At 56.7% G+C, this 25769-nt stretch overlaps 1 protein-coding gene and 1 long non-coding RNA gene across 4 annotated transcripts in view, besides 1 other annotated feature; both read left to right on the forward strand.

Moving 5' to 3' along the window:
• The window catches only part of TAFA5 (TAFA chemokine like family member 5), a 262380-nt gene that overhangs the window by 82343 nt on the left and 154268 nt on the right, over positions 1-25769 (forward strand). The window contains exon 1 of one of the 2 annotated variants that reach the window (NM_015381.7): positions 4445-4676. The exons of the other annotated variant lie outside the window; for it this stretch is intronic. Coding sequence (NP_056196.2) covers positions 4586-4676 — 91 coding nt within the window. The 5' untranslated portion in view covers positions 4445-4585. Of the gene's footprint in view, positions 1-4444; positions 4677-25769 lie in introns of those variants that run through there. 2 annotated transcript variants of the gene reach the window in all.
• On the forward strand, positions 5145-24294 carry LOC124900480 (uncharacterized). Of its 2 annotated transcripts, none has more exons than XR_007068144.1 (2): positions 5145-5774; positions 21749-24294. It is a non-coding gene; the product is annotated as an uncharacterized LOC124900480 (long non-coding RNA). The 2 variants fall into 2 exon arrangements; XR_007068145.1 differs by lacking the exon at positions 5145-5774 and adding an exon at positions 13756-18902.
• Positions 5251-5757: an enhancer, noted in NCBI's record as "H3K27ac-H3K4me1 hESC enhancer chr22:48972958-48973464 (GRCh37/hg19 assembly coordinates)". NCBI's record gives its function as "activates a minimal SCP1, AML or CMV promoter by ChIP-STARR-seq in primed H9 embryonic stem cells {active_cell/tissue: H9 hESC(primed)}" and the evidence as "EXISTENCE:reporter gene assay evidence [ECO:0000049][PMID:30033119]".

Raw genomic sequence — 25769 nt, forward strand, 5'->3', positions numbered from 1 at the left:
CCAGTCTTCATTCATTCCCATTTTACCATTCAGTGTATACCCTAGACCTTAAAATGGTCCACTCACATTAATTTCCAGGAGTTTTTTTCCTTGTTCTCTTGTTTGCCTTTTCTCCCCCTTGGGAGCCTGGTTTTCTCTTATTGATACCATATTATTTCAAATTTTTTGAGAATGATACTATTTAGAATAATCACAATTACGGTTATGATTATTTTCCCTGAATTATTTCTGTCCCCTAAGGTTCAAGTGTAGAGTATGCACAGCTGAGCCTGACTTCTCTTTCATGCCTCTAGCTTTCTGCAAACACCTAGTGATCTCTGCCTGCTAGGTCCTGTCTGTATAGGAATAAAGGTTGAAGTGTGTGTAGTGACCGGTCAGTGTGAATCACCTCTACCCTGTGTAGCCCAACAGGCTTCTCACTTGACCATGAGCACTTACTGTATTCCCTGGGAATGAGCAAGGTGTGTAGACAGATGGGCCACCCTGGAAGTGGGCATGCAGCCGATGGGCAAACAGGGTCCCCACATTTGCTGGTGCTGGCGGCTTGACCCTAGGGACAGGTGTTTTTGTGCATTTCACTCTTGGGAGGAATTGTGCTACCTTTGGACCTGCTGACCCTGCTTCTCATGAGTGACCAAAGTCCTTAACTCTGCTCTGCCCTGGTTTTTTCTTAGACCTTGAGTTTTTCACTCCAGAAGCAGGTTCCTGGCTTTTTTTGTGTGCCATGGGCCTGTTTGGAAGTCTGGTGAAGCCTGTGCCACCCATCTCAGGACAAACTAAAAATACCTGATGAAGAAGATCAATTATATCCACATGCAGTTAGCAAATGGTAAAAAGCCTATTTTTGATACAGTAATGTGTTTTCTTTATGAACACATTACATACAAAGTCTAGTAGTGGGACGACCATAATTTGAAGTAATGGTGAAAATAAGCAATAGACTGAGATAGCTACAAGAGCTGTAATGTGATATGAAAATACCTGTGCTTTTTGTTGGTGACAAAGTCATAGTTATGGCTGAAGTATTGTGTTTACTGCCTACATGCCTAACTGAAGGCAGTGTTAAATTTCGTTTAGAGACATGTTAAATGCTCACTTTCTCCATCCAAAGTCCCACACCTCAGGCACTGTGGGGACTGTCCCCGGGCAGAAGGCACCCCCTCTGTGGACAGCTTTCCTCTGGCCCTGGTCTGAGCTACACTAGCCTTAAAGCAGCAGTTTGCAGGGGTTTGGGGGAAGACACACCCACCCGGCACTGTGGAAGTGCAGCTCTTTGGCCAAGTGCCCTCCTGCCTGGACACCTGGCCATGCCCCTGGTTTGTTTCACCTTCTCGGGAGGATGTGGGCATCCTTCTGTTGGTTCCCACCACAGTTTTTTCTCTTCTGTCCAGAGACTGGGCCCAGGACCCCCTCACCCTTTCTGGCTTGCTTAGATTTTGATTAGCATTTTGATTCCCAACACAGTAATGGTTTCAGTATTTGTAAAGGGTTTTTCCTGTCATGTCAATGAGAACCCTAGGTGTCTCCTCCTGAGATGTGTGTTGGTTTTATCTGGTTCAGGTGTTCACACTGCCATCTGGAGCTGACTTCCCAATGGCACCCAGGGCCTCTTTGGTCTGCACTGTTAACTCACTCTTCGGAAGCCCTACACGAGGTTCTTGAGTTTGCAGCTGTGATTGCTTTTAAAAGTGTAAGCAATGCCACATGCATTTACTAACAGGAAGCCTTGGTGCCCGGAGAAGTGTGATGGTGGTCCCCCAACATTAGGTATGGAGGTCCTCCTGTCCCACCTGTTGAAAGTGAATTGGTGGGCCTGCCTCTATTTATGAACTTTCTTTTTTTTCTCCTTTATCCTCTTTAATTCTCTTTACAGAAGGATCTTCCAATTGTAGTTCTTAAATATTCCCTTGGTGAACGTAGCACACTTTTCTATTTTCAGAATTTCAAATGATATGCACCTGATTGGGGACACAGTGAGTGTCAAGGGCAGGCTCTCTCTCCTGATTGAGGTCCCTTTGGGGGCCAGGGGTGAGCACATGTGATAAGCACCCAGAAGACCCCCGAGTCCTCTGACTGGGGAGCCCTGTGCCAGGTGAGGGATGAAGGCCAACGACCTTGCTGGAGGTCAGGCTCTGCGAGCCAGGCAGGGTGGGTTCCTGAGGAGCTGCTACCTTAGATCTTTCCTAGAGAATGTCTAGGGGTGGAGAGCAGGAAACAGTGGGGTGCTTATAGGAAATGGGGTTTTGAAGGGGATTGCCTGAGCAGAGAGAATGGCTAGTCCCTCCCAGGGCAGATCCACAGCTGCTTAGTTGCTTGGCTGGTGTGAGGCTGGGGCCACTCCTTTAGGTGAGAGGAGTTGGATGGGACATTCTTGTCTCTCCTGGATGTTTTCGGGGGCAGGTGGAGGGTGATGAGCCAGAGGTGAAGAACTGCTTCGTGGATGGCCTCTCCCCTGGCCGGCTGCTGGGCACCGCGAGCCAGGTCAGGCAGACAGCATCAAGCTTAGTGGCTGGTCCTGACTCTGCCCTTGACTTTTTAGTTGATGTTAGACCAGTCACCATGCCTCTATAAGCCTCAGTTTCCCCAGATGCATACTGATTGCCTTGATCTATCTGACCTCCAAGAGCCCTTCAGGGCCAGGCCTCTTTCCCTTCCTGGCACGTCAATACTGGTGCAAGGAGGAGACAGCCTTCATGTGAACCACATGCACCGCGGGCACCAGCACTGCCCCCACCCTGCACAGGTCAGGAGAGAGGTTCAGGGTCCCAGGAAGCTTAGGCCCCGATTCCTGCCCACTGCTCTTTTCTGGTCATTTGAAATTGAATTTCAAATTCAATTCAGGCAAAAATACCTTGAGGCCCACCACACTGGTCTTGGTACTGGGCTCTGGGGCGAACCCCTGACGAGGACACCTGTGCCCCCTGCTCTGGGGAGCGGGGTTGGGGAGCAAAAGTGGCCTAAAACAAAGACCCTTTCTTCCTAGAGGCGGGAAGGGAGGCAGTGCAGGGAGGCATCCGTTTGTTTCCTCTGGAACGGAACGTGGGCATTAACAGTGCGCCCACGCTCTTGGGTGCAGGGCAGCTGGCTGGAGGGTGGTACACAGTAGGGGCAGGTGTGAGTGTGTTTGTGTGTGTTTCCAGGCAGATGTGCCGTTTTCAGAAGCCGCGGGACCAGCCTCCTCCGAGCCCTCCCAGCCGCTGGTCGGGCCCGGCTGGGGCGGTACCTGGGCCTGGGGTTTCCCTGTCTCTCCTGGGGCCTTGGGTGCGAGGGAGGCTGGGCGCCACTCGAGGCCCCGCGTCCGGTCTCCCGCGCCAGCAGGGCCGGCTCTGCAGTGAGGCCCCTGCGCACCTAGGTGGAGCCCGACCCGCAGTTTTCGGCTGGGCCGGCCCCACCTGACCCGCCGGCGCGCCAGGCGGGGGCGCTGCAGGGCGGGGTCCCCGGGGTCCCTCGCGGCCCAGTGCGCATCCGCGGCTCCGCGGCCGGGAGGAGCGCAGACGGCGGCGGGCGCGGGCCGGAGTCCGAGGCTGCGCGGGCCCGGCCACCTGGGCCGGCAGCGACTGCGCCGCGCTCCCCCTCCCGCCGCCTCCCCCGAGGAGCCGGCGCCGAGCCGAGCGGGCGGGCGCGCGCCTCCAGGCCGGAGCAGCGGCGTCCCGCGGGCGGCGAGGCGCGCAGCGTCGCCGGCCCCACCTGTAGGCGCGGCAGCCACCGGCACCGGCACCGACACCGGCAGCGGCGGCCCAGCGTGGGCAGCCCAGGGGCGCGGTGGGCCCGGACCTAGTCCCGGCCGCGGCGGCGGAGGCGCGGGCTGCTGGGAGCGCAGAGGCCGGCACCGTCCGGTGGGGACCGGCCCGCCAGCCCCGGGCCGCGCAAGTTCGATCGCCGCGGGCTCGGCCGGGCCGCGCGGACCCCGGCGGCGGCGATGGTGCGGCAGCCCCGCGCCCGGCGCGCAGCCCCGGCCCCGAGCCTGGCCCGCCGCGGCGGCGGTGGCGGCGGCGGCGCGGCGGCCCCCTGAGCCCCGGGCCGGAGCGAGCGCGGGCGGCGGAGGAGGCGGCGGCGGCGGAGGAAGAGGAGGAGGAGGAAGGCGACGCCGAGCAGCGGGCGGTGGGGGCCGACAGGCGGAGGAGGGGGCCGGGGCCGCGCCGGACCCCCCCCCCCCCCGCGCCGCCCGGCCGTTGCGCAATCCGCGGCCCGCCGTCCGGGCCCTGCTGGCGGTGCGGCTCCGGGGGCGGCGGCGGGGCTGATTCATGGGGCCGCGGCGGCCGCCCCCCGGCGCCCCGCAGCCAGCGATGGTGGCCGAGTGGTCGGAGCGGCGGCCGCCGCGGCCCGAGACTTTCTGCTAACCTCCCCGCCCCCGCCCGCCCCCTCCGCGGCGCCCCCCTCCCCCCGCCCGCTCCCCTCCCCCCTGCCCAGAAAGACACAAATCGCCTCCCGGAGTGGCGCCTCCAGTCGCGGCGGAGCGCGGCGTTGGCGGCGGATGGAGGGCGCGAGCGGGCGGCCGCGGAGGCTGCACCCGGCGGGGCGCTGATGCGGCGCCTGGACCTTCGCTGCGCGACTTCGGGGGCGTCGGCCGAGTTGGGACTCCGCGATGCAGCTCCTGAAGGCGCTCTGGGCACTGGCAGGGGCCGCGCTCTGCTGCTTCCTCGTCCTAGTGATCCACGCGCAGTTCCTCAAAGAAGGTAATTGTCCCCGGGCGCGCGGACCGGTCCTCCGCGCTCTGCCCGGCTCGCGGCGGCTCCGGCGCCCGACCCGGCTTCCAGCACGTTCCGCTGCCGCCGCGCTCGGCTGAGGCTCGTGGAGCGCCACTGCGGGCCCGGAGCGGCCGGCGGCGCGACCCTACCAGGAGCCCGACCCCCCGCGGATCTCGCTGCCCCGCGCCCATCGGGGCTCACCGGCAGGGCGCGGGGTCGGGGCGCGCTGCGTTCTCGGTGCCTCTGGCGCCGCCCCGGATCCCCAGCCCAAGCCGAGGCTGCCGTTCCCATCCCCTGCCCCACTGGGCTCGGTGGCAGCGGCGCCCGCCCGCACGCCGCCGGGCCCTCGGTAGATGGCACCAGCGCTCCACGGTGGCCGGCCGGGCTGGGGCGGGAGCGGAGCTGGGACCCGCCAGGGTGGGCGCCGGGCTGGGACCCGCGGACGTCGGGAAACCGGCCTGCGCACCTGTTCCCCAGGGCCCAAGCCGCCTTCCAGAGACCCATAGGTTTGGGAAGCAGGGGCTTGGTCACCGGGGTGCGCAGGTCCCCGCGCCAAGTTCTGCCCCTGCTCTCTTGGTCTTTGCTGGACTGCAGGGCAGTCTGGGACTATTGAGGCGCCCAGGATAACGGTTGGACCCTCGTGGCTGGAGAGGCCCTTTGTACTGGGAAGCATCTTACTGGGGGTTGGGGGCAGGGCCACACCTCCCCTGATGGGCGGTCGGTCGGCTCCAGGCACCCCAGACACACTCCTGGAAACTTCCTGGTTTCAGGGCCAGGCTCCCTTTGCAGGGCTCCCGGTGCACCCCGGGATCAGCCTGGCCTGTCATATCAGACTGGGGGCAACTGAGGCGTTGGCCTCCCCCCGGGCACCCCTGCTCATGGTTACTAGTGCTCTGGCACACAGGCTGGGCCAGCTCCGCCTGGTGCTCCCCTTGGTCCGCTGGGAAGGCTGAGCACCGGAGGGCGCCTGTGTGGCTGGTAAGGCGCTGGGTTCTCATTAGTTCTGGGTTCCTGCAGAGGAAGGGCTTGCAACATTCAGCTGCTTTCCTGACTAATTAATGAGCCGCCGGAGGCCTGGGGAAGCAGGTAGGTGCAGGAGCCCGGCCCGAGACCCTGTGACCTCCACGGGCCTGGTGTCCACTTCCCTCCCTTGCTTTTGGATGTGGGCACCTAGTACAGAGGAGGGCCAGGTCTGAAGGGAGAGTAGGCTACCCCAGGACTCTGCTGCGGGCTTGGCCTGCCAGCCCGGGCTTGCGGGGACCCTTCCCCAGGTGGGAGGCCCAACTTCTTCCTGCTGCCTTGCTGACCCACTTCAGGAGTGGGTGGTTCTGCCATAGGGCAGTAGCACTTGGGGCTGGGGAGGCCATCCTTCCTGCTGAGGAGTCATTGGGTCCAGGCAAGCCCGCGAGGGCTGTCCTCTGCTGGTGTCGCGTGTCAGGACTGTGGGAGCCACCCCTGGTGCATTCCAGGTACCTGGCAAAGGGGTCCCTGCTCTGCTGGGCCTGTTTGTGTTCGCGCTGCAAGTTCTCTGCCTCTCTGGCTGATCTCGAAGTCTCTGGGGGATTGGCTTGCGGAAAGGGCGTGTATGTGAAAATTTCAGTGTTTCTCTGAGGTCCAGGTGCCCAGCTGCATCCTGACACTCTGTGATGAAGTGAAGTTCCACTGACTTTGAAGCTGTGAGTTAGTAACGGGAGAAGCTCCTGGCCATGTGGCCGGCCTGTGACAAGGGCTTCCTTTCTGCCTCGCCCTGCGGCGCTGCCCCAGTGCAGGTGCCTCCGGGGGCTCTGCTGTCCCCCTGAGGCTCCAGGTCTAAAGGACTCTGTTTTTTGGCCAAGAAGAAAGAGTTTCTGTCTCCCAGATGGGAGGGTCTAGGTGTGGAGCAGGCCTCGCTTAGTGGAGTACTTTTTGTGGATTTAGCCCTTCACAGAGATCTCCATGTTTACCTTGAAGCAGACACACGTGTGTCGGTGTTGTGGAAGACGGCGCAGTCATAGGAAGGTGGGATGAGGATGGGGTCAGCTGTACGCTGAGGGCACAGGTACCTTTGGAGGAGCGATTGCGGGTCCCAGTGTTTGCGCAGCCCTCCAGGACTCCTGAAGTCCTGTCTCCCTGTCCGGAAGCGGTGGCCTTCACCACCCTGGGTTGAGCCCTGCTGCCTGTCTGTCTGGAAGGTCAGGACTTGGGCAGCCTCCCTGTCCTTGCTGAGACGGCCTTTTGGCCCCTTGGCATCAGGAGCCCCAGGGGAGGCCTGGGGGACCAGCAGTGAGAGGTGCAGGGAGGGGGGTGGCCGACTCTGGTTCCTGGCTGATGGGCTCGGCCTGGGGCCACTCTCCTCCCAGCAGCCGCTGTCCAGCAGGAGGGAGGGAACAAGGCAGGCGGGTGGACAATTGTGACTTGTTGTCTGGGCCTGAGTGGGAAAGAGCTGTTTAAATAGCCATTTTCATGAATCTGTTTTCTTCAGGGGTGAAGAATGGGGGACCCAGGGAGCCGTTTTTCCACACTTCTCCTTTTGTGTGGAGATAGAGGCCACCCCGTGGCTAATCCGTCCCCCCCTGGCCACTCTGGTCTTCCAGTGTTTGTGGAGATGAATAGGGCTGTGAACCGAGAGAGAGGCAAATTGCGGTCCATAATTGCAGCCTCGGTATGTCCCAGCTTTGTGAGAACAGGTCCTGCCCACCGCACCAGGCCTGGCTGGGCAGCCACAGGCCCAGGAAGAAAGCAGGGCCGCAGCGTGGGGTCCGGCACTGGGGCCTGGGCAGCTGCTCTTCTTGCCTTGTCATCCTTAGGACACGCTGACCCTCCTCTGGGAGGGGAGAGCCGTCCTTTCTTCTGAACTGCCTGGTGTGTGCACGTGCTGTGTCTGCATGGGGTGTAGTTAAAGTGGGGGACGAGGGCGGGAATCCCAGGACCCTGATGGAAGAGCCGGCCGCTTCCTTAGGGTGCAGACGACGTGTGTCACGGAGACGCGAGAGGGAAGCCAGCACTTTATCTCCATCATCATGTTTGGCCTCCAAATACGGAGTTAAGGAAACGGCGAGAAGTATAAAAATATTTTCCACCTCCCTCTTCCAAAGACTTTACAATATTTTTCTGGAAGTCTTGAGTCACTTGGACTCCAGCACTCCAGCACAGATGAGCAGGCTTTGGTGTGGAAGCTTAATGTAAACAGAAGGATAGGAAAATACTTCAAAGAGGAAGGAATGCGGCAAGCCTGGGCCACCCAGGCAGGCCACAGCGGCAGAGAGGTTTCTGGGCTTTGGCACCCAAAGGGACATGAGAAAGCCGGGAAATCATTCGGCCCGATCCTTTCTGAATGGGAGGGAGAACCCAGTGCCTCTTTCCTTTAAATGTGGGTTTGAGGTTCAACTCTATCTCGGTAAATCCTTTTGGTGGCAGGGGAGTGCATTCGACGGCTTGAACGTGCTGTGCAAAAGCCTCTTTTGCAGGTTAATATTGAGAACTTTGCGTCCAGCGGCCGCGGCACGGTGTACCCGGGCCTCGATTCCAGAAGCGCTTTCAGAACCGCTGTGGCGTGCCTGTCTTTGAGCAGCTGCTCGGAGGGCAGACTGTTGATTGAGTCAACGGATTCAACTTCCATTGATTTAGTTAGCTGGCTCTTTCGGAAATGAGGCGTCCTCCTGCAAACCCATGTGGCCCGTAACAAGGGGCATGCTCAGCTCCGTGAAGGCAATTGATGGTGTATGAATGGTTATGGCTCCGCGCAGTCATCATTAATTGATGCTGTCTTTACAAGATTAGCAGCCAATGCAGAGTGTTCGTCTATCTGTTAGATGGATCAGTTTATTTTTTAAGAAATGGATAGAGAACTTCTTAGGAGACACAGCACAGTTCCCGGCCCTAAGACTCCATCAAAAATATTTGCTGAATGCGTACAGCCATTCTGTCCCAGAGGCATAGAGCTAGGGCTGTGGATGGTCCATGATGGGTTGGGTGAGGGCTTGGTAGATGCCCTTGAGGTTTCCCAGAGCAGCAAGGCTGTTCTTGGTGAGGGCTCGAGGCTGCACCGGGCTCCATTCTGAGTGTCTAACGGTGGAGGAGGAACTCACTGCACGCGGTGTGTGTGGAAGGAGGAGGGAGTTCGGCAGCTCTGTGTTCTCAATGCTTACGGCCAGCTGTGCCTGCACCCCTGCACCCAGTCTTGGCATGGGGCTGCCCCGGCCGCCAGGCTCCGAGCTTGGAGCTGGCTGCTCATTTCTCCCTGAGTCTCAGACTGCGTGTGGAGGGGTGCTGGGCTTTGTCTAGGGGCCCCAGGGGCTTCCCTAGCCCACTTCCTGGGTGCATTGTTTTTATGGCCCTGATGAGGTGTGCAGGCAGACAGAGCGCAGGGGCATCGCAGTGCCAGCCCCACATGGCAGGTGTCCCTCAGCCTGCCTCTCCCTGACCCTCCAGCAGACGCTGTTTGCAAGGCCAGGTAGGTGTGAATGGCTGCTGGGAGGGGTGGAAATGAAAAGGCGTTAAAAATAACCAACTCTTTTATCATCATTTACTATCATTTCTTGTGTGACACAGAATCTAAATAAAACCCACACTCACCGTAATGGGATTCTCATCTGCTGTGTCTCTGACAACTGTAAAAGTTAGAATATAAAAGGACTGGAAATGGAGGTGACTTCCAGACACAAGGTGGCTCATCACAGCCTTGCTGGGCACAGGAGTCCCAGCCTCCCAGGCCTCCCTGCAAGGGCCGAGCCAGTCCCTGCCGAGGGCCAGGCTGGCAGTGGACGGACGGGGCCAGCTGGGGGTCCCTCCCACTGCACACTCGGGAGGATTGGATTGCGGCTGATCTTGCCGCCGGCATCTGTGGAAACTCATCAGTCTCCCATGTTGCTGCCGTGCTGAGCACAGTGCGAGAAAGCCGTGCGGAGAATGGTTTTATTCCCCACTCGGTGGTCTGGAGGTGGGTGGTTTTTGCCCGTCTCTGGGCGCGCGGAGCTGTAGGAGAGGGGCCACTGGCGAGGCCGTGTCCGTGCTCAGTAGAGTGCTGGCTGCAGACACAGCCCAAGAGCCCCTGGGCCTGGAGAAGGCCGGGTTCGGGGGCAACCTTCTTGGAAGGGTTCACTGCTGACATGTTCATGTGTGTGCATATGTGTGTGTGTACACGTGCCTGCTTATGCATAACTAAATGCTCATAGGTGTTCATATCATTGTGTGTGATCTTCTTAAACATAAACTACAGGATCATGCATTATAAACCTCATTTAAAATACAGCCCCTTCGTTAGGGAGCAGCGCACGCAGGCAGTGGTGTTCCTGTGTTCCTGGAGAGGGGAGGGAGGCATCCTCACCTTATTTACGCAGAGACACATAGTTTTGTGGCTGCACTGCGATCTGAGCAGACAGAAAACATGGAGCGAAGCACGCAGCTGTGGGTCTGCGTGGAACATGGGACTGTTCGCTCACACACGCACCCAGTGAGTGGACAGGGCTCCTTTGAGACCAACCATGGGACCCGGTAGCCTTTGTACTGTGGGAGCCCTGACCTGCCTGTCGGGGCAGGCGGCCCTTTCCTCGTTCTCCTTTTACCTGGGCTCTGTGTGTGAGCCCACCTCTCCCAGAGACACGCACTGCGGTGCCCCCCAACAGAGACACACCACACACTACACGATGCACACACCCACACCACACAAAAAACACAACGCATACCATACACCCCACATACTGCACACACTACACACCATATGCTGCACACCACATACACACCCCACACGCAAAATACACCACATACCACACACAAAATACACCACACACAAAATACACCACGTACCACACACAAAATACACCACATACCACACACAAAATACACCACACACAAAATACACCACATACCACACACAAAATACACCACATACCACACACAAAATACACCACACACAAAATACACCACACACCACACACAAAATACACTACACACAAAATACACCACACACAAAATACACCACATACCACACACAAAATACACCACACACAAAATACGCCACATACCACACACAAAATACACCACACGCCACACACAAAATACACCACACACCACACACAAAATATACCACACACACCACACACAAAATACACCACACACGAAATACACCACACACCACACACAAAATACACCACACACTACACTCAAAATACACCACACACAAAATACAGTACACACCACACACAAAATACACCACACACACCACACACAAAATACACCACACATGAAATACACCACACACCACACACAATAAACCACACACAAAATACACCACACACACCACACGCAAAATACACCACACACACTGCACACAAAGTACACCACACACAAAATACACCACACACGCCACACACGAAATACACCACATGCCACACACACACCACACACCACACACAAAATACACCACACACAAAATAAACCACACACAAAATACACCACACACCACATGCAAAATACACCACACACACCGCACACAAAGTACACCACACACAAAATACACCACACACCCCACACACAAAATACACCACACGCCACACACACATCACACGCCACACACACACCACACACCACACACAAAATATACCACACACCACACACACAGTGCACTCCAAACACAAAATATACACATACCACACACCACATACAAAATACACCACACACCGCACACACACCACACACTATACACACACCACACACCACACACAAAATACACCACACACCACACACACACCACACACTATACACAAAATACGCACACCAGTGCACACCAAACACAAAATATACACATACCACACACCACATACAAAATACACCACACACCACACACAAAATACGCCACACACACACCACACACACAGTACCCACCGCACACAAAATATACACATACCACACACCACATACAAAATACACCACACACCACACAGTGCAACCAAACACAAAATATACACATACCACACACCACATACAAAATACACCACACACACCACACATCACGCACACACACCACACACCAAATATACACACACCACACCCCACACACGAAATACACCATACACAAACCACACACAAAATACACCACACACCACACACATGCCTCACATCACACACAAAATATACACACGCCACATCCCACACACACCACACACAAAATGTGCCACACAGACACCACACACACAGTACACGCCACAGAAAATATACCATGCAAACATACCACACAGCACACAACACACCACATACAAAATACACTACATATATACACACGCCACACAAAAAATACACCACACACACACGCAACATCATACACACACGCCACACACCACACAAAATAAACCTCATACACCACACACACACCACACACCACACACCATACACACACCACACACAAAATATACCACACACACCATATACACCTACCCACACATATAACACACCACACACCACACGCCACACACCACACACAAAATACACCACATACACCACACATACCAGACACCACACACCACTCACAAAATATATCACACACACACACCACACACACACACCAATCACATGCACACACCCCCCCACAAAACATCACATACATCATACACACACCACACACCACTCACCACACAAAATACACAACACACAAAATACACCACATACACCACACACATTGGACACCACACACTTACAAAATACATCACACACCACACACACACACACCACACACAGCAGACAGCAGACCACACACACACAAAATACACCACACAGATATCACACACACCACACACACCGTGCACCACACACAGTACACACCACACGCACAGTACACACCACACACATAGATACACATGGCACACAAAATATACTATGTAAATACACCACACACGTACACACCACACACAAAATATACTACACATTCACACCACACACAAAATACACCACACACACACACACATACACACCACACAAAATACACACACATCACACACACTACATGCCATGCACCACACGACACAAAATACACCTCACACACACCACACCACACACGCATGCACACACACCACTCACAAAATACATCACACATGCACCACACACACAGCACAAATCACACACACATACACCACAAACACACACCACACAAAATGCACCACACACCCCACACGCACCATATACACGCACCCTCCACACACACACAACACACCACACACATCACACACGCTACATGCCACTCACCACACAAAATACAGCACACACGCATACACACGTATACAACACACAGCACACAACACGCTAAATACACCACATACCACAAGCACACCATTCACAAAATACATCTCACACACACACACCACACACACACACACAAAATACACTGCACTGATATCACACACACACCACACAGAAAATACATCACACACATTCACATGTACACACACACACCACATGCAGAATACACCACACACACTAGATACCACACGCACACCACTCACAAAAACATCACACACACAGCATACACTACACACACAGCACACACCACGCACACACACACAATACACCACACAGATGCCACACACAACAAAATACACCACACACTAGACACCACACACGACACACTGTGCACACATACCACATGCCAAACACCACACACACACAGAAACCCACAAACATACCACATACACAACATACATACACAGATAATATACCACCTAACCACACACAACACACACACATAAAATACACCACATACACATACAAAATATTCACACACACACACATAAAATACACCACATACACATACAAAATATTCATACACCACACAGCACACACCACACACACCACACACCACATACACACACACAACACATCACACACATGCCACATCCCACACACCACACAAAATACACCACACATACACCACATACAAAATACACCACATACACCATACAAACTAGATACCACACACCACTCACAAAAAACATCACACTGCTCATACCACACAGCACACACCGCAGACACACAATACACCACACAGATACCACACACAACAAAATACACCACACACACTAGACATCACACACACACTATGCATTATGCACACACACCACACACACCACAAACATACACAACGTATACACAGACACAGAATATACCACACACAACACACACACATAACATACACCACATACGCATACCAAATACGCATACCACACACACACCACACATACCCTGTGAAGGCCACGCACACACAAAGCGCAGAAACACACCCCCACACAAACACATGCCAAGACACACACACACAAACATACACCACATGCATGTTATACACACACAGCCAAACATCATAAACACACGTTACACCCATCACACCGCACACACACGATACCCCAAACACCACACAGTCTGCAGCTCACCCCGTGGGCCCAGCCTGGCGTTCTGGAGGAAGGGAGAGGAGGGTGGACCCCAGCTTCGGCCTCTGCCCCTGCAGCCTTGTCCCCATCCTCACCCGGACCCTGACCCTGGCCCTCGCTGGCTGGGCCTCTGCAGAGGCTTCCTGAGGAGGAAGGTACTGCCCTGACCTTCACAGCTGGGGCAAGTGTGGCCCAGTGAGGTCAAGGGAGGGTGCAGATCCCAGAGGATAGCAGGACAGGTGCAGCCACGTGGCTCTCTTCTCTCTATGACCCCAGGCAGAGGTGGCGTGGGTGTTGCCTGGGCATTGCACACGCACCTCCTGCTGCAGGCTGCATCACCCGTCTTGCAGGTCTTGTGCTCCTCCCAAGGGTCACACCCACCTATGCAAATAACCTTTGGGACGAGGAAGCCCCACCTGCAGCATGATACCAGGCTAGTGGCTGGGCTTCTGGGACCCTCGGTCTCCTCTTTGCAGGAAGGGAATGATAAAAGGAGTGGAAGCCCGAGGACTTCCACGGGGGTCCCCTGACAGATGGCCCCAGCAGTGACCTTGTGCAAAACCCAGGAGCCACCCCTGCCAAGTGCTGGGCGTGTCTGTGGAGCAGATGAGGCCACAGGCACTGGCCACAGGACTGCGCTGTCTGGAGAGGGATTCGCACACATTTGCAGGGGTGCAGGGCTGGTGTTCTCAGGATTTTGCCTGGCTTCTCTGGATCCGGAGGTCCTGGGAAGGTGGCTTGGACCCTGGTGGGCGGAGTCTTTGAAGTGCAGTCTGGAATCTTCCATGCACAGTTGGGCGACCTGGACAGTGCCCACTGTGTTCTCTAGAGAGTTCCTCAAGGATGCAGCCCCTTTGTCCAGACACTGTTGCAGGAGGCAGGGAGGGAGGCCTGCCCCATGTCCCCTGGATGGCAGGATGGGCTCCCACCTTGTGTCTGGCTGGGCTGTAGTGTGCGGGGCAGCCAAAAGGCACCCTCCGGGTAATCAAGGCCTACCCCACATGGGGACTCTGGTGAGAACCGGGCCTCCACCGACCCCCTGTCCAGGGTGCAGGAGCCAGGCCCGTGCTGTCAGCTGTGTCTGTTTGTCTGTGGTTTCCCTGTGGCTTCATGGCACATGCAGGTCTCTCTTCATGCTTTGGGTGTGGAAGCCGTCGTCAGCTGAGAGTGTTCTGTGGGTGGGTAGCTCTCCTTCCTCCTGAATTTGGGGTGACCTTCTGTGTGGAGGCCCATGACGGTTTCCCATGCATTCCGGGGCTCTGGGATGCTGTGGGCACGAGTTCTGGAGGGGTCTGCACACCTAGGTTCATCTCACGGGCCTCGGGGTGGGCAGAGGGTCCTGGACTGCAGGGACTTGCCCTTCTTTGCAGCTTTGTGCTTTGGTGGTAAAGAAAGGGCTGTGTCCTCAGCCACACTGGGAGCTGCTGCCCTTGCGTGGAACAGGAGCAGCTGTTTGTGGGCAGTCCAGGTGTGGGCTGCAGGCGGGTCGGGGTGGGCTGCAGGCAGGCATTTAAGGAAGTCACAGCTCCAGGCACCAAGGAGGCAGTGGCTGCTGGCCCTGTCCTTTGCTGCATTTCTGTGGACTCCTAGCCCAGGGAATGGAGCCCTGGAGGGTCCCAGGGTAGCCGGTGTCACCTGAAGTGTCCCAGGGACACCTGGTCCTCTGGCTGATGGGGCCGCCCTGTGGGGTAGGCCAGGCCCTGGCTCTCTGGCCCTCAGGGCAGGGTGCGGGTTCCCCACTTCCCCGGCCCTCACACACACCCTTCCAGCCACCCGCGTGAGCATGCTCCAAACACGGCCTTCTGCCCTTGCCTTTTCTTCTCCTTTTGCGTTTTAAAAATCAAATCAGCGGTTCGGAAGGCCTGGAGCTTGGAGGACTCACGCAGAGGCGGCCTTCTGCCTGCCCTCAGGGGCTCCTGAACTTCCCAGAAGCAGCCCTCCCTCCCAGGCTGAACTTTCTGTCTCAGTCCCCGCACTTTCCCAGCTAGGCGGGCTCCTTGTTCCTGCCCATTTTACTCCAGAAGGGAAGCAGGCAGGCCCGGGTTATCCTGCAGGTGCCAGGAGCCCCCTTGGCCAAGCTCCATCTGTGCATAATGGGGGCTCCAGTGGTTTGGGGGGTTGGTCCATGGGAGAACTGGATGTTCACCAGGGGTCAGCATTGGCCTTGAAGTGTGGAGAAGGGTCATCTTGGCAGAGGTGGCAAGGTGGTGAGCCCCTGGGGCTGAGCACAGGTGCGTCTGGTGAGAGGGGCCTGGCCATGACCGCAGTGACTGCTCTTCACTGTCACCTCCTTTGCTCCTCAGGCCACCTGCGCAGAGGGTGTGATCCTTGCATGACTTTGCCATTGAGGAAATGCAAGGGCAGAAAGTGCAGTCTCGGCGGCCGCCCGAGAACCAGGTGCCCTCTCTCCCGACTTTGCTCCCTGGATGGGGCTGCACTGCCCGTCCTGAAAGGCTCTGCTGAGGCATTGGGGGAAGGAAGGCATTGCTCGCAGTGGGAGGGGTCCTGCAGAGGGTCCCAGGCAGGGTGGGTGCTACCTTCAAAGTTGACAGTGGGACTCCTCACCCCGTCCCCTGTGTTGGACTCGAAGTGGGTCCCCATGGATTGAGTCTGGTGGCTGCTGGGTATCGGGGCTGGTTTCTGGGCTATGGTCTCTTGCTGTGACAACGGGGACCTGCGGGGATGGGGGCACGATTCGGTGCCACCTCCCTGCCTCTGTGGCCTCCCGGTTGGGGCAGGGCAGGGCCTGGAGGTTCTAGAAGGCCCTTGGTTCAGGTGAGCACAGTGCCTTCGGGGATGCTCCTGGCAGAAGACTCAGGAATCTGTGGGAAGACCCGTCCCCGAGACCATTCCAACTGGACCGCATGGAGCCAACCTGGCCCCCCGTGATCTTCCCTGGGTATATTTAGAAGAGGTCATGGAGCCTTTACAATACACACTCTTCAAAGTCAGCCTCTGCCTCAGAGAAGGTGGATTTTATTAGCCAATTACCTTCCTTCTCCTCCGATTACAGAAGCAGCCAAGCAGGCCTTCTGATTCGCTTCACCGATAGAAGAATGCAGACCTTGCTTATAAATAACTGTGCTTTGCAGAACCAGAAAATCCATCTTCAGACCCTCCTGTCCCCAGGGAATGCCTGCACAGTGACAACTCCCTGCTCCTGCCCGCTGGTTGCCTTGGGGACAACCTTGATAGACATGCTGGCCTCAGTTTGGCATGCACGTATTGAGTACCTGCTGTATGCCGGACATGGGCTGCTTGCTGGCGGAAGGTGGCCAGGGGGTGACTGGCTGGGGGTTTGGTAGGTCTCATGGGATCATTTATGTGAAAAGGCAGAGTGAGGACTTGAGTCTCTGCACCTGTGAGAAATGTACACCTGTGGGGTCAGTTGGAGGTCCCCAAAGACAGAGCCACCTGGAAACCAGGGTCGGTTGGAGGTCCCCAAAGACAGAGCCACCTGGAAACCCAGGGTCGGTTGGAGGTCCCCAAAGAGCCACCTGGAAACCCAGGGTTGGTTGGAGGTCCCCAAAGACAGAGCCACCTGGAAACCCAGGGTCGGTTGGAGGTCCCCAAAGACAGAGCCACCTGGAAACCCAGGGTGCTCTCTCATTTGGAAAAAGGGCCTTTGCAGATGTAGTTAAGGTCAGGTTCTCAAGATGATGGTGCCTTAGGTTAGGATGCACCCAAACTCCAAAGGCAAGTCCTTAGAAGAGAAGAGAAGCAAACAGAGAGGGGGCCTCGTGAAGATAGCGCAGGGTCTGGAGTGATGTGGCCACACGCTGAGGAGCACCCGCAGCCATCAGGAGCTGGAAGAGGCAGGAAGGATCCTCCCTGGAGCTTTTAGAGGAAGCGCAGGCCCAAGACACCTTGATTTCCAACTTCTGCCCTCCAGAACTGTGAGAGCAGAAACTCCTGTTTTTAAGCCACGAGTTTGTGGTGGTTTGTTACAGCGGCCAGAGGAACCGGATATAGCAGGCCAAGCCGAAGATCTTGTCACAGGGGATTGCAGCCGACGTGTGTGTGTGTGTGTGTGTGTGTGTCACGCGCACATGCACGCGTGCTTGGGGGTCTCTGGTCAGCGTGGCTGGCGGATGGGGCCTGGGTCTGATTCGGGTCCACCTTGTCTCAAGGAGGACCTGGAGGGGACAGATGCTCCGTCAGCATGAAGGGGAAGATCCGGATTCCCATCCCGGAGGTGGAATGCCACGGAGGCGAGGGCCCTTGAGTTGGGGGTTAAAGAAGAAGCTGGTTTTCCCGAGGAGATCGGGGTTGGGGTGGCCAGCCCAGAAATTCTTAATGCTCCTCCTTCCATAAATCCAGCATTGCCCAGAGCAAGGGCACGCACCGCTGTTGGCCTGCAAGATGGTTTTATGCGGATGCGGACGGGCATTTGTTATTTTAATAGCTGTGTATCAGCTTTTATGGCTACCTTCTATTTATGGCAAAGGCGCTGGCTTTCCATTCACGGGCTGATGGGAGGTTTCTTTTTAGCAGTGAGGTGATACATGGGTATGGTGCAACCCTGGCGGATTCACAGGTGGCCCAAGCCCGGGAGACACTGTTGTGGCTTCTCGAGCATCTCCTAAACACCCAGTGTAGAGAAGGGGCTGAGCCTGGGCCGAGCTGACCACGAGGGGCTGCCATACACAGACCCAGGACTGTGACTCTGAGAGCCCACCGGCTGGTGTACCTTTGAAAGTGACATTTTCATTTTTTTTTTAATCCAAAAGAAAATTGTGGAAAAGATCAATGTTTGTGCCCAGCCTCCTCCAGGCCATTTCCTATTCCAGTTGGAATCCGTTGTGACCAGCTTCACAGTTACCTGGTATGTTATTAAAAATGTGTCTGGTGTTTAGTCTTTTTGTTCATGATTTGTTCTTTTTTTTTTTTTCTTTTTGAGATGGAGTTTCACTCTGTCATCCAGGCTGGAGTGCAAAGGCATGATCTTGGCTCACTGCAACCTCCGCCTCCCAGGTTCAAGCAGTTCTCCCGCCTCAGCCTCCTGAGTAGCTGGGATTACAGGCGCCCATCACCACGCCCAGCTAATTTTTGTATTTTTAGTAGAGATGGGGTTTCGCCATGTTGGCCGGGTTGGTCTTGAACTCCTGACCTCAGGTGATCCGCCCGCCTCGGCCTCCCAAAGTCATGATTTGTTCTTAATGCACTAATTTATCTTAGTTGAAACACACATTTCTCTTTTCTCTGAAGTTGGTGGCTTGGCCTTGACAGCAACCTGAAGAGTTCTGTGTATTGAGTTGGTTTCTTCTTGTCTCTGGGATGGGCTGTGAGCCAGGAAGAGGAGAAGCTTCCCGGTTCCTTAGTGAATCTTCTAGAAGGGATCGTGGTTGCCCTTGGGTGGAAACTGCCCTCAGAGCCACAGGCAGGAGTGGGTGTTCCCGTCGCAAGCCACCCCTCTGGGTCCTGCCCGCTCTCCTCCCACCCCCGTGCGTCTGACCCCCAGGGCTTGCGATGCCTCAGTTGCCTGCAGCCATGGCCTTGCCCTGGATGGAGAGCACAGACAGAGGCAGCTGGGAGTTTCTGGGAGTTTCTGAGGCCTCGCATTGGACAGAGTCATCCTGCTGGCGCAGGGAGTGGGCACTGACCGGGGGCGGCCCTGAGGGCTCCAGATGACAGGAGAGAGCCTGCTCCAGGGCAGCGGGGTCACAGGGTGATGGGGTGACCCAGAGCAGCTGGAAGGTGAATGCCGGAGCCTGGGCCTGACCCTGAGCTGGCCTGAGGGAGGGGCCATGGCCAGCTGAGCCCTGAACTGATGTGGGCAGCATGTTCCCCAGTCAGGAGATGGTGGCGTGGCAGAGGGAGGAGGCACTGGGCTCGCGGAAGCCCACGTAGCTAGGGTCCAGCCCCTCCCGACCTCCCCCACGGAGTCTCCCTCTCAGGGCAGCCAGCATCCCGGGCGCCTGGGCCCGGTGTCTGTCTCCCCAGGCAGGTGCCTGGGATGCAGTGCCCCAGCCTCACGGCCCTGAGCGCCCTTCAGCCACTGAAGTGTGATGGCCGGGGGTGATGCCCACGGCCCCGGGGCACCTCCCCTCCTTAGCAGGTCTCTGCCTGGACGGCAGGAGGCGGGGGGTCCCTTGCAGGTCCCGAGGCTGGTGGGGCCAGCCTTGGTCGGGCCCCACCCTGAGGCCTGGGCCTGAGCCACGGGTGGAGTTGCTGTTGTGGTCAGTGACCCACCCATGGTGCTGACCCTGTGCCAGTGCTGTGCCCAGGGCACTGTGCCAGCCTCCTTTCTTTCTATGGGCTGCTGGTCTGTCCCCAACACTGTACAGTGGCCCTGGAGTGAGGCTGGCAGAGCCTGCAGCCCCCCAGGGTTGAGCCTTGGCTGTCCCCTTGCTGGTGTGTGACCTGGTGGCTGTGTTCCCCATGCCCTGTCTGCTGCCCTGCACGCAGGATAAGCATCAGAGGACCTTGGAGGCTGTGGTGCAGGTGAAGTGGGAGCCACTACAGGCAGGGGCTTGGGACGTTGCACTCAGCTCTCTGCTGTCCTTGCCTCATGCCCAGCCCTGGGTCCAGGTCTCTTCCCCCTCCTGCTGTCCCAGCCTCTGATTTGGGCTGAAGAACCACGAAACGGGTGCTCCGGGCACTGTCGTTTCTCTTTTCATCTCTGGGGCGCACTCCTCTGCGCTCTGCCTGTCTGGCCGGTATCTGCTGCCTCCCTCCCTCCCTCCCTCCCTCACTCCCTCCTCTCAGTGACTAACTCGGTCCTGGGAAGGTTGGTTCTTGCCTGCCCTCCTGCTCAGAGGCCTGAGCCAGTCTAGAGCAAGGAAGCCCTGTGCTCCCGAGAAACCGAGCAGAAACACAGTTTTCTGGGGCATTTGTAGGAGATGCAGGTGCGGGGAGCATTCCTGGAGCTTCCCTGGAATCCCTCCTGTGTGTTCCGTGGTGGTCCCAGGGGTCTCTCAGAAAGACACCTACCTGGGGACAGAGGGCTTGGCTGGCTGGATCAGGGTCTTTGTGGTGGACCTGTCTGTGGGGTTTGGTCCTGAGTCCTGGACCAGGGCCTCTTCAGAGCTAGCTGAGTGGGGCGGGGGGGTCTGTAGGAGGGAGGCGTCCCTGCAGCCGTCGGAACTGAGATGTCCTCCGGGAATCCCGACAGGAGCCGCAGCAGACGCGGGATGGGAGGTGCCCAAAGTCACGTCCGCGAACAGTGTCACCTGGGAGACGCCATCACTCTTTCCCAGCTTGACGTCCTGAGGCCGAGGCCAGCCCAGGACCCCACCTGTGTCCCCAGCAGCCTGGTGTATAAAGCGGAGCATTGGAGCTGGGAGAGGAGGGCTGCAGAGGCTGAGATGCAGCTGGTCGGGCCCAGCCCCTCCATTTTGCAGATGGGGAAATAGAGGCACGGGGCAGGGGAGGGACTGGCCCAAGGCCATATGGGTCTCAAATTACTGATGGTGACCGATGTGAAGGGGACGTGTCTTTTCAGGCAGGGAGACTGCTGTGGGCCTGGCACCAGGTAGAGGTTCTGAGCTGGCTGTCTGGGCTCGGGGGGTGTCTCAGGGCACAGGACTGATGGGGGTGGCTGGGGTCGGGGATTAGGGACTGCTGGGTTGAGGAGGGCTAGTGCCAAGTTGAGAGAAACATCCCCTTGGCCCAGCACCCCAGGTGGCTGTGTTGGTACCAATTGCTTAAAATTGCACCTTCATTTTGCAGCTCCTGTTGGGCGCCTTCTCACCGCGCGCTCGGGTGCAGTGAACTCTGGGAGCCGTCGCAGCCCAGGGAGTCCCCAAGGAAGGCCAGCTGGGGCCATCCCTTAGCACGGCCTCCCCAGGCCTCCACTTCCCGATCTGTGAAATGGGACAGTAAGAGCTCCCCCGAGGCCAAGTCCTGCCGCCCTCCTGCCCTGCTGTGGACCCCAGTGCAACTGTGAGCATCCGAGGTGGTGAAGGGGACCTCACAGCACACAGAGTGCACGGCGCTGCAGCCCAAGGAGACCTCATCAGTGTGTCGGCTCTCATTTTCGTTATTTTTCCTATTATTTTCTCTATCTTCTGAAGTCCTTATGTAAGGAATTATGGTTTCCGGGGAGACCCATTGTGATAAATGCCAGAAAACAAAAGCTTTTTTCCAGGGCGCTGAGGCCTGTGGATCCTCCCAGGCCCTGGTCATGCTCCTGTGCCCACAGAGTGGCCCTGTGTTTGCACTCTTTCTCTGGGGATGCACAGGGGCGGTGAGAGGGAAGCAGGCGGCTGCTCTTGGCCAGTGGAACTGCCCGGCGTTGGGGTGCAGGCGAGACCCAGCGAGGCTCGAGGACTGCAGACTATGCAGCAGATCCTGGCAGGCTTTGGCTGTCTGACCCACTCGGATGGGCGAGGAGAGAAATGGGGGGACCAGTGGGACGTTCTGGGGTGCACGCATGTAGGGGAAGCTGTTAGTGCATTCTGAGCACCCGGTGCACATAGGTTGACAAGCTCCGAGGCACACACACACGAGTGTGCACAGGCAGCCTCTGAGGGCTACGCCCACGGGGATGGGAAGATGGGGCTGGGATAGGGAGGGCTGGGCCCCACCCTCTCAGGGACATAGCCTGAAAACAGGGCAGTGCAGGACTCTGATGCCTCACACAGTCCTCAGAGCAGCCCCGGTGTGATGATCCCCATAGGCTCATGCTCCCGTCGGCTGCCAGCCATCTCTGCATCCTGCCTTTGAGCCTCTGCACAGCCCTCATCTGTGGGTGTCCAGAGCCTTCTGCAGAGGCCAGACTGCCACTCAGTGGTCCCCGCATTTCTGTTGTCTACCAGGAGCACTGTCTGTATTTTTAAGAGGTGGACAGATAGCAGTGCAGACAGACGGATGGGCGTAAGGACGGGCGCCCTGCCAGGATGCTCCGCTGTCTCTCAGCCCCGGAGGCAAGTGCAGCTGGAGCTGAATTTGCCTCCTGAGCACATTTTTTTTTTTTTTTTTGGTGCTCAGAGTAGCCCTTGGGACTGCCCCATGTCCCCAGCACACCTTCGGCTGAGCAGGGTGCCTGTACCCCTGAGGGAATTTGCAGATCAGCTCTCCCTGTCCACACGGGGCACATAGAGCCCCAGCCAGGGTGGTTCTAGTTCTAGAAAGGAGTGCTGCCTTGAGCCTGTGACCGGGTGGTGGTGGTGAGCCTGAATTTGGCTTTGGAATTAGGCCCCTGAGTGTGGCCCTGCTGTGCTCGTACCCCTGAGTTTGCAGCCTGCATGCCCCAATTGGGGCCCGCCAGTGGCAAAGCAGTTCCCTTCCCACCTACTCAGGGGATGTGCAGCCATGGAGCCTGGGAGGAGGCACCACCACCACCCGTGATCAGCTCCAACCTCAAACTTCAGGGAGACATGGTTCCCCAAATGGTTGCCCCTTCCAGGTTCTCCTCTTCCCGGCGCGTCAGTGGGGGTGTGGTTGTGCCCCAAGGCTCCAACAGGTGTTAGGGGGAGTGGAGGCAGCTGACAGAGCAGGGGCTGGCGTTATCCTGTGGAAGAGGTCGGGGAAGTGGCCATGTGTGTTAGATCCGCAAGTGCTGCCGGTAGCTATGAGGAGCTCCCTGATCAGAAGAGCCCAGGTCTCGTCTCTGGATTGAAGCCACTGGGGCTCTGTGGAGGCCACCAAGAGACCCTGCATCCGTTCCGTGGACAAGCCACAATAAGGGAGATGTCACACATCTCCAGACGTGCTGCCACACGCAGTGCAGCGGGCAACCTGCCCATCAGGCTGCAGGGGACGGGGTGCCTCTGGGGACTGGCTCCCAGCAGCCCTGGAGGTCCTCTTGCACTGTTTAATTCGTGTCTACACAGGGCCACGCTCACATCAGCGTGCTCTAATCCTTTAAGAACTGAGATTGTCTCCAACTACAGCTGAGTTACAAGCTGCATAAATTAAAACTTCTCATACATGGTATCTTGTAGCCTTATTAAGTGGCAAGATTATGCAAAACAATCTGTAAGTATGATAATACAACTTTCGCCATGGTTTGTAACAGGACATTTGTTATCTCTCATTCTGCTCTAATTAAGCTCCATTCTGGAGGAATTAGTGGTATTACTGTTTAAATCTTAACTTTTGTATTAAGAAAGCATGTTCCAAAGCTTTTGAAATGCATCTTGAAAGCAGTGCCTGAATTAACAGGTTTAACAAGGAGCGTAGGAATTTCAAAGCTCGGCTAATCTGTAGAAATTATGGTAGCTGTGCCAGATTTATTTTTCATTTAATTAAAACAAAAAGTTGTTTTGCTGAAAGTTACCCAGATAAAGTTGTTTCAGCAAAGGCAAGAAGCAGTGTTGAAGAGACGCGGCCTTCTGGGGCCCAGGACTGAGCGTTGGTTTCTGTTGACCACGCTGTGCCTCCACGGCCCGTGTGTCTGGGTCTGGGTTCTGGGCCCTGGGCTCTGGGATGGCATCAGGGCTAAGGGACACCAGCCCCCTCCCGGTGTGGTCCTCACTGATTAACGCTCCTCAGCGCAGCACATTCTCAATATTCTGTCAAGGGGCAAGGTTGAGAGTGTGGTTTTATTACTGTTTGTGAAAATCACAGGCTTTATGTTTTAGGGCAGTTGTAGGGTTACAGAAAAATGGAGCAGATGGCAGTTTCCATCTAGCCTCTCTCCTGCCCCTCCCATCCCCACAGGGTCCCGTGATAACAGCTGGCATGAGGGAGGCGCGTGAGTGACAAGTGAGGCTCGACATTGACACGCTGTTATTAACCGAGGCCCATGGTTCACACCAGCGCTCACTCTTGGCATGGAGCATTCTGTGGGTTTGGACCCACGTATCGTGACGTGCGTCCACCGAGATCGTAGCATACAGAGGGGCGCCACTGCCCTAGGGCTCCTCTGTGCTGGATGCCATCATTTTCATTTTATTTTATTTTGTTTTTGAGACAGGGTCTCCTTCTGTCACCCAAGCTGGAGTGCAGTGGTGCGACCTCAGCTCACTGCAGCCTTCACCTCCCAGCTCCACTGATCCTCTCGCTCAAGCCTCCTGAGTAGCTGGGATCACAGGTGTGCACCCCCACGCTTGACTAGTTTTTGTATTTTGTAGAGATGAAGGTCTCGCTGCGATGCCCTAGCTGGTCTCGAACTCCTAGGCTCTGGCGATCCTCCCGTCTTGGCCTCCCCAAATGCTGGGATTCCAGGTGTGAGTCACCACAGCCGGCCAGTTTTTTAAAGAACACCAAAAAATAGCATTCATGTAAAGTTATTTGCCTCGTGAACCACCATTGATGGTCCCAGAGGGGAGATAGTCAGGGCCTTCCCTGAGCGTGTCCCCAGAGTGTCCCCAGGAACACCTGCTGCCCCCTTCACCACGCCACCATGGCCCCCATCACCCGGGCCTCAGTTTCCCTGCTGTTCCCCTCTCTACCGGCTGGCTCATATGCAGAGTGTCCTGGGAGCCACCTGCCACCCTCTTCACCACGCCACCTGGCCCGCATCACCTGGGCCTCAGTTTCCCTGCTGTTCCCCTCTGGCTGGCTCACATGCAGAGTGTCCTGGGAGCCACCTGCCACCCTCTTCACCACGCCACCATGGCCTGCATCACCTGGGCCTCAGTTTCCCTGCCGGTCCCCTCTGGCTGGTTCATATGCAGAGTGTCCCAGGAGCTACCTGCAGCCCCCTTCACCACGCCACCATGGCCCGCATCACCTGGGCCTCAGTTTCCCTGCCGTTCCCCTCTGGCTGGCTCACTTGTGAGGGGAACCCCACCACATGCGGTTA

This window comes from Homo sapiens, chromosome 22, assembly GCF_000001405.40.
Source record: "Homo sapiens chromosome 22, GRCh38.p14 Primary Assembly".
In the NCBI taxonomy this organism is placed as follows: domain Eukaryota; kingdom Metazoa; phylum Chordata; class Mammalia; order Primates; family Hominidae; genus Homo; species Homo sapiens.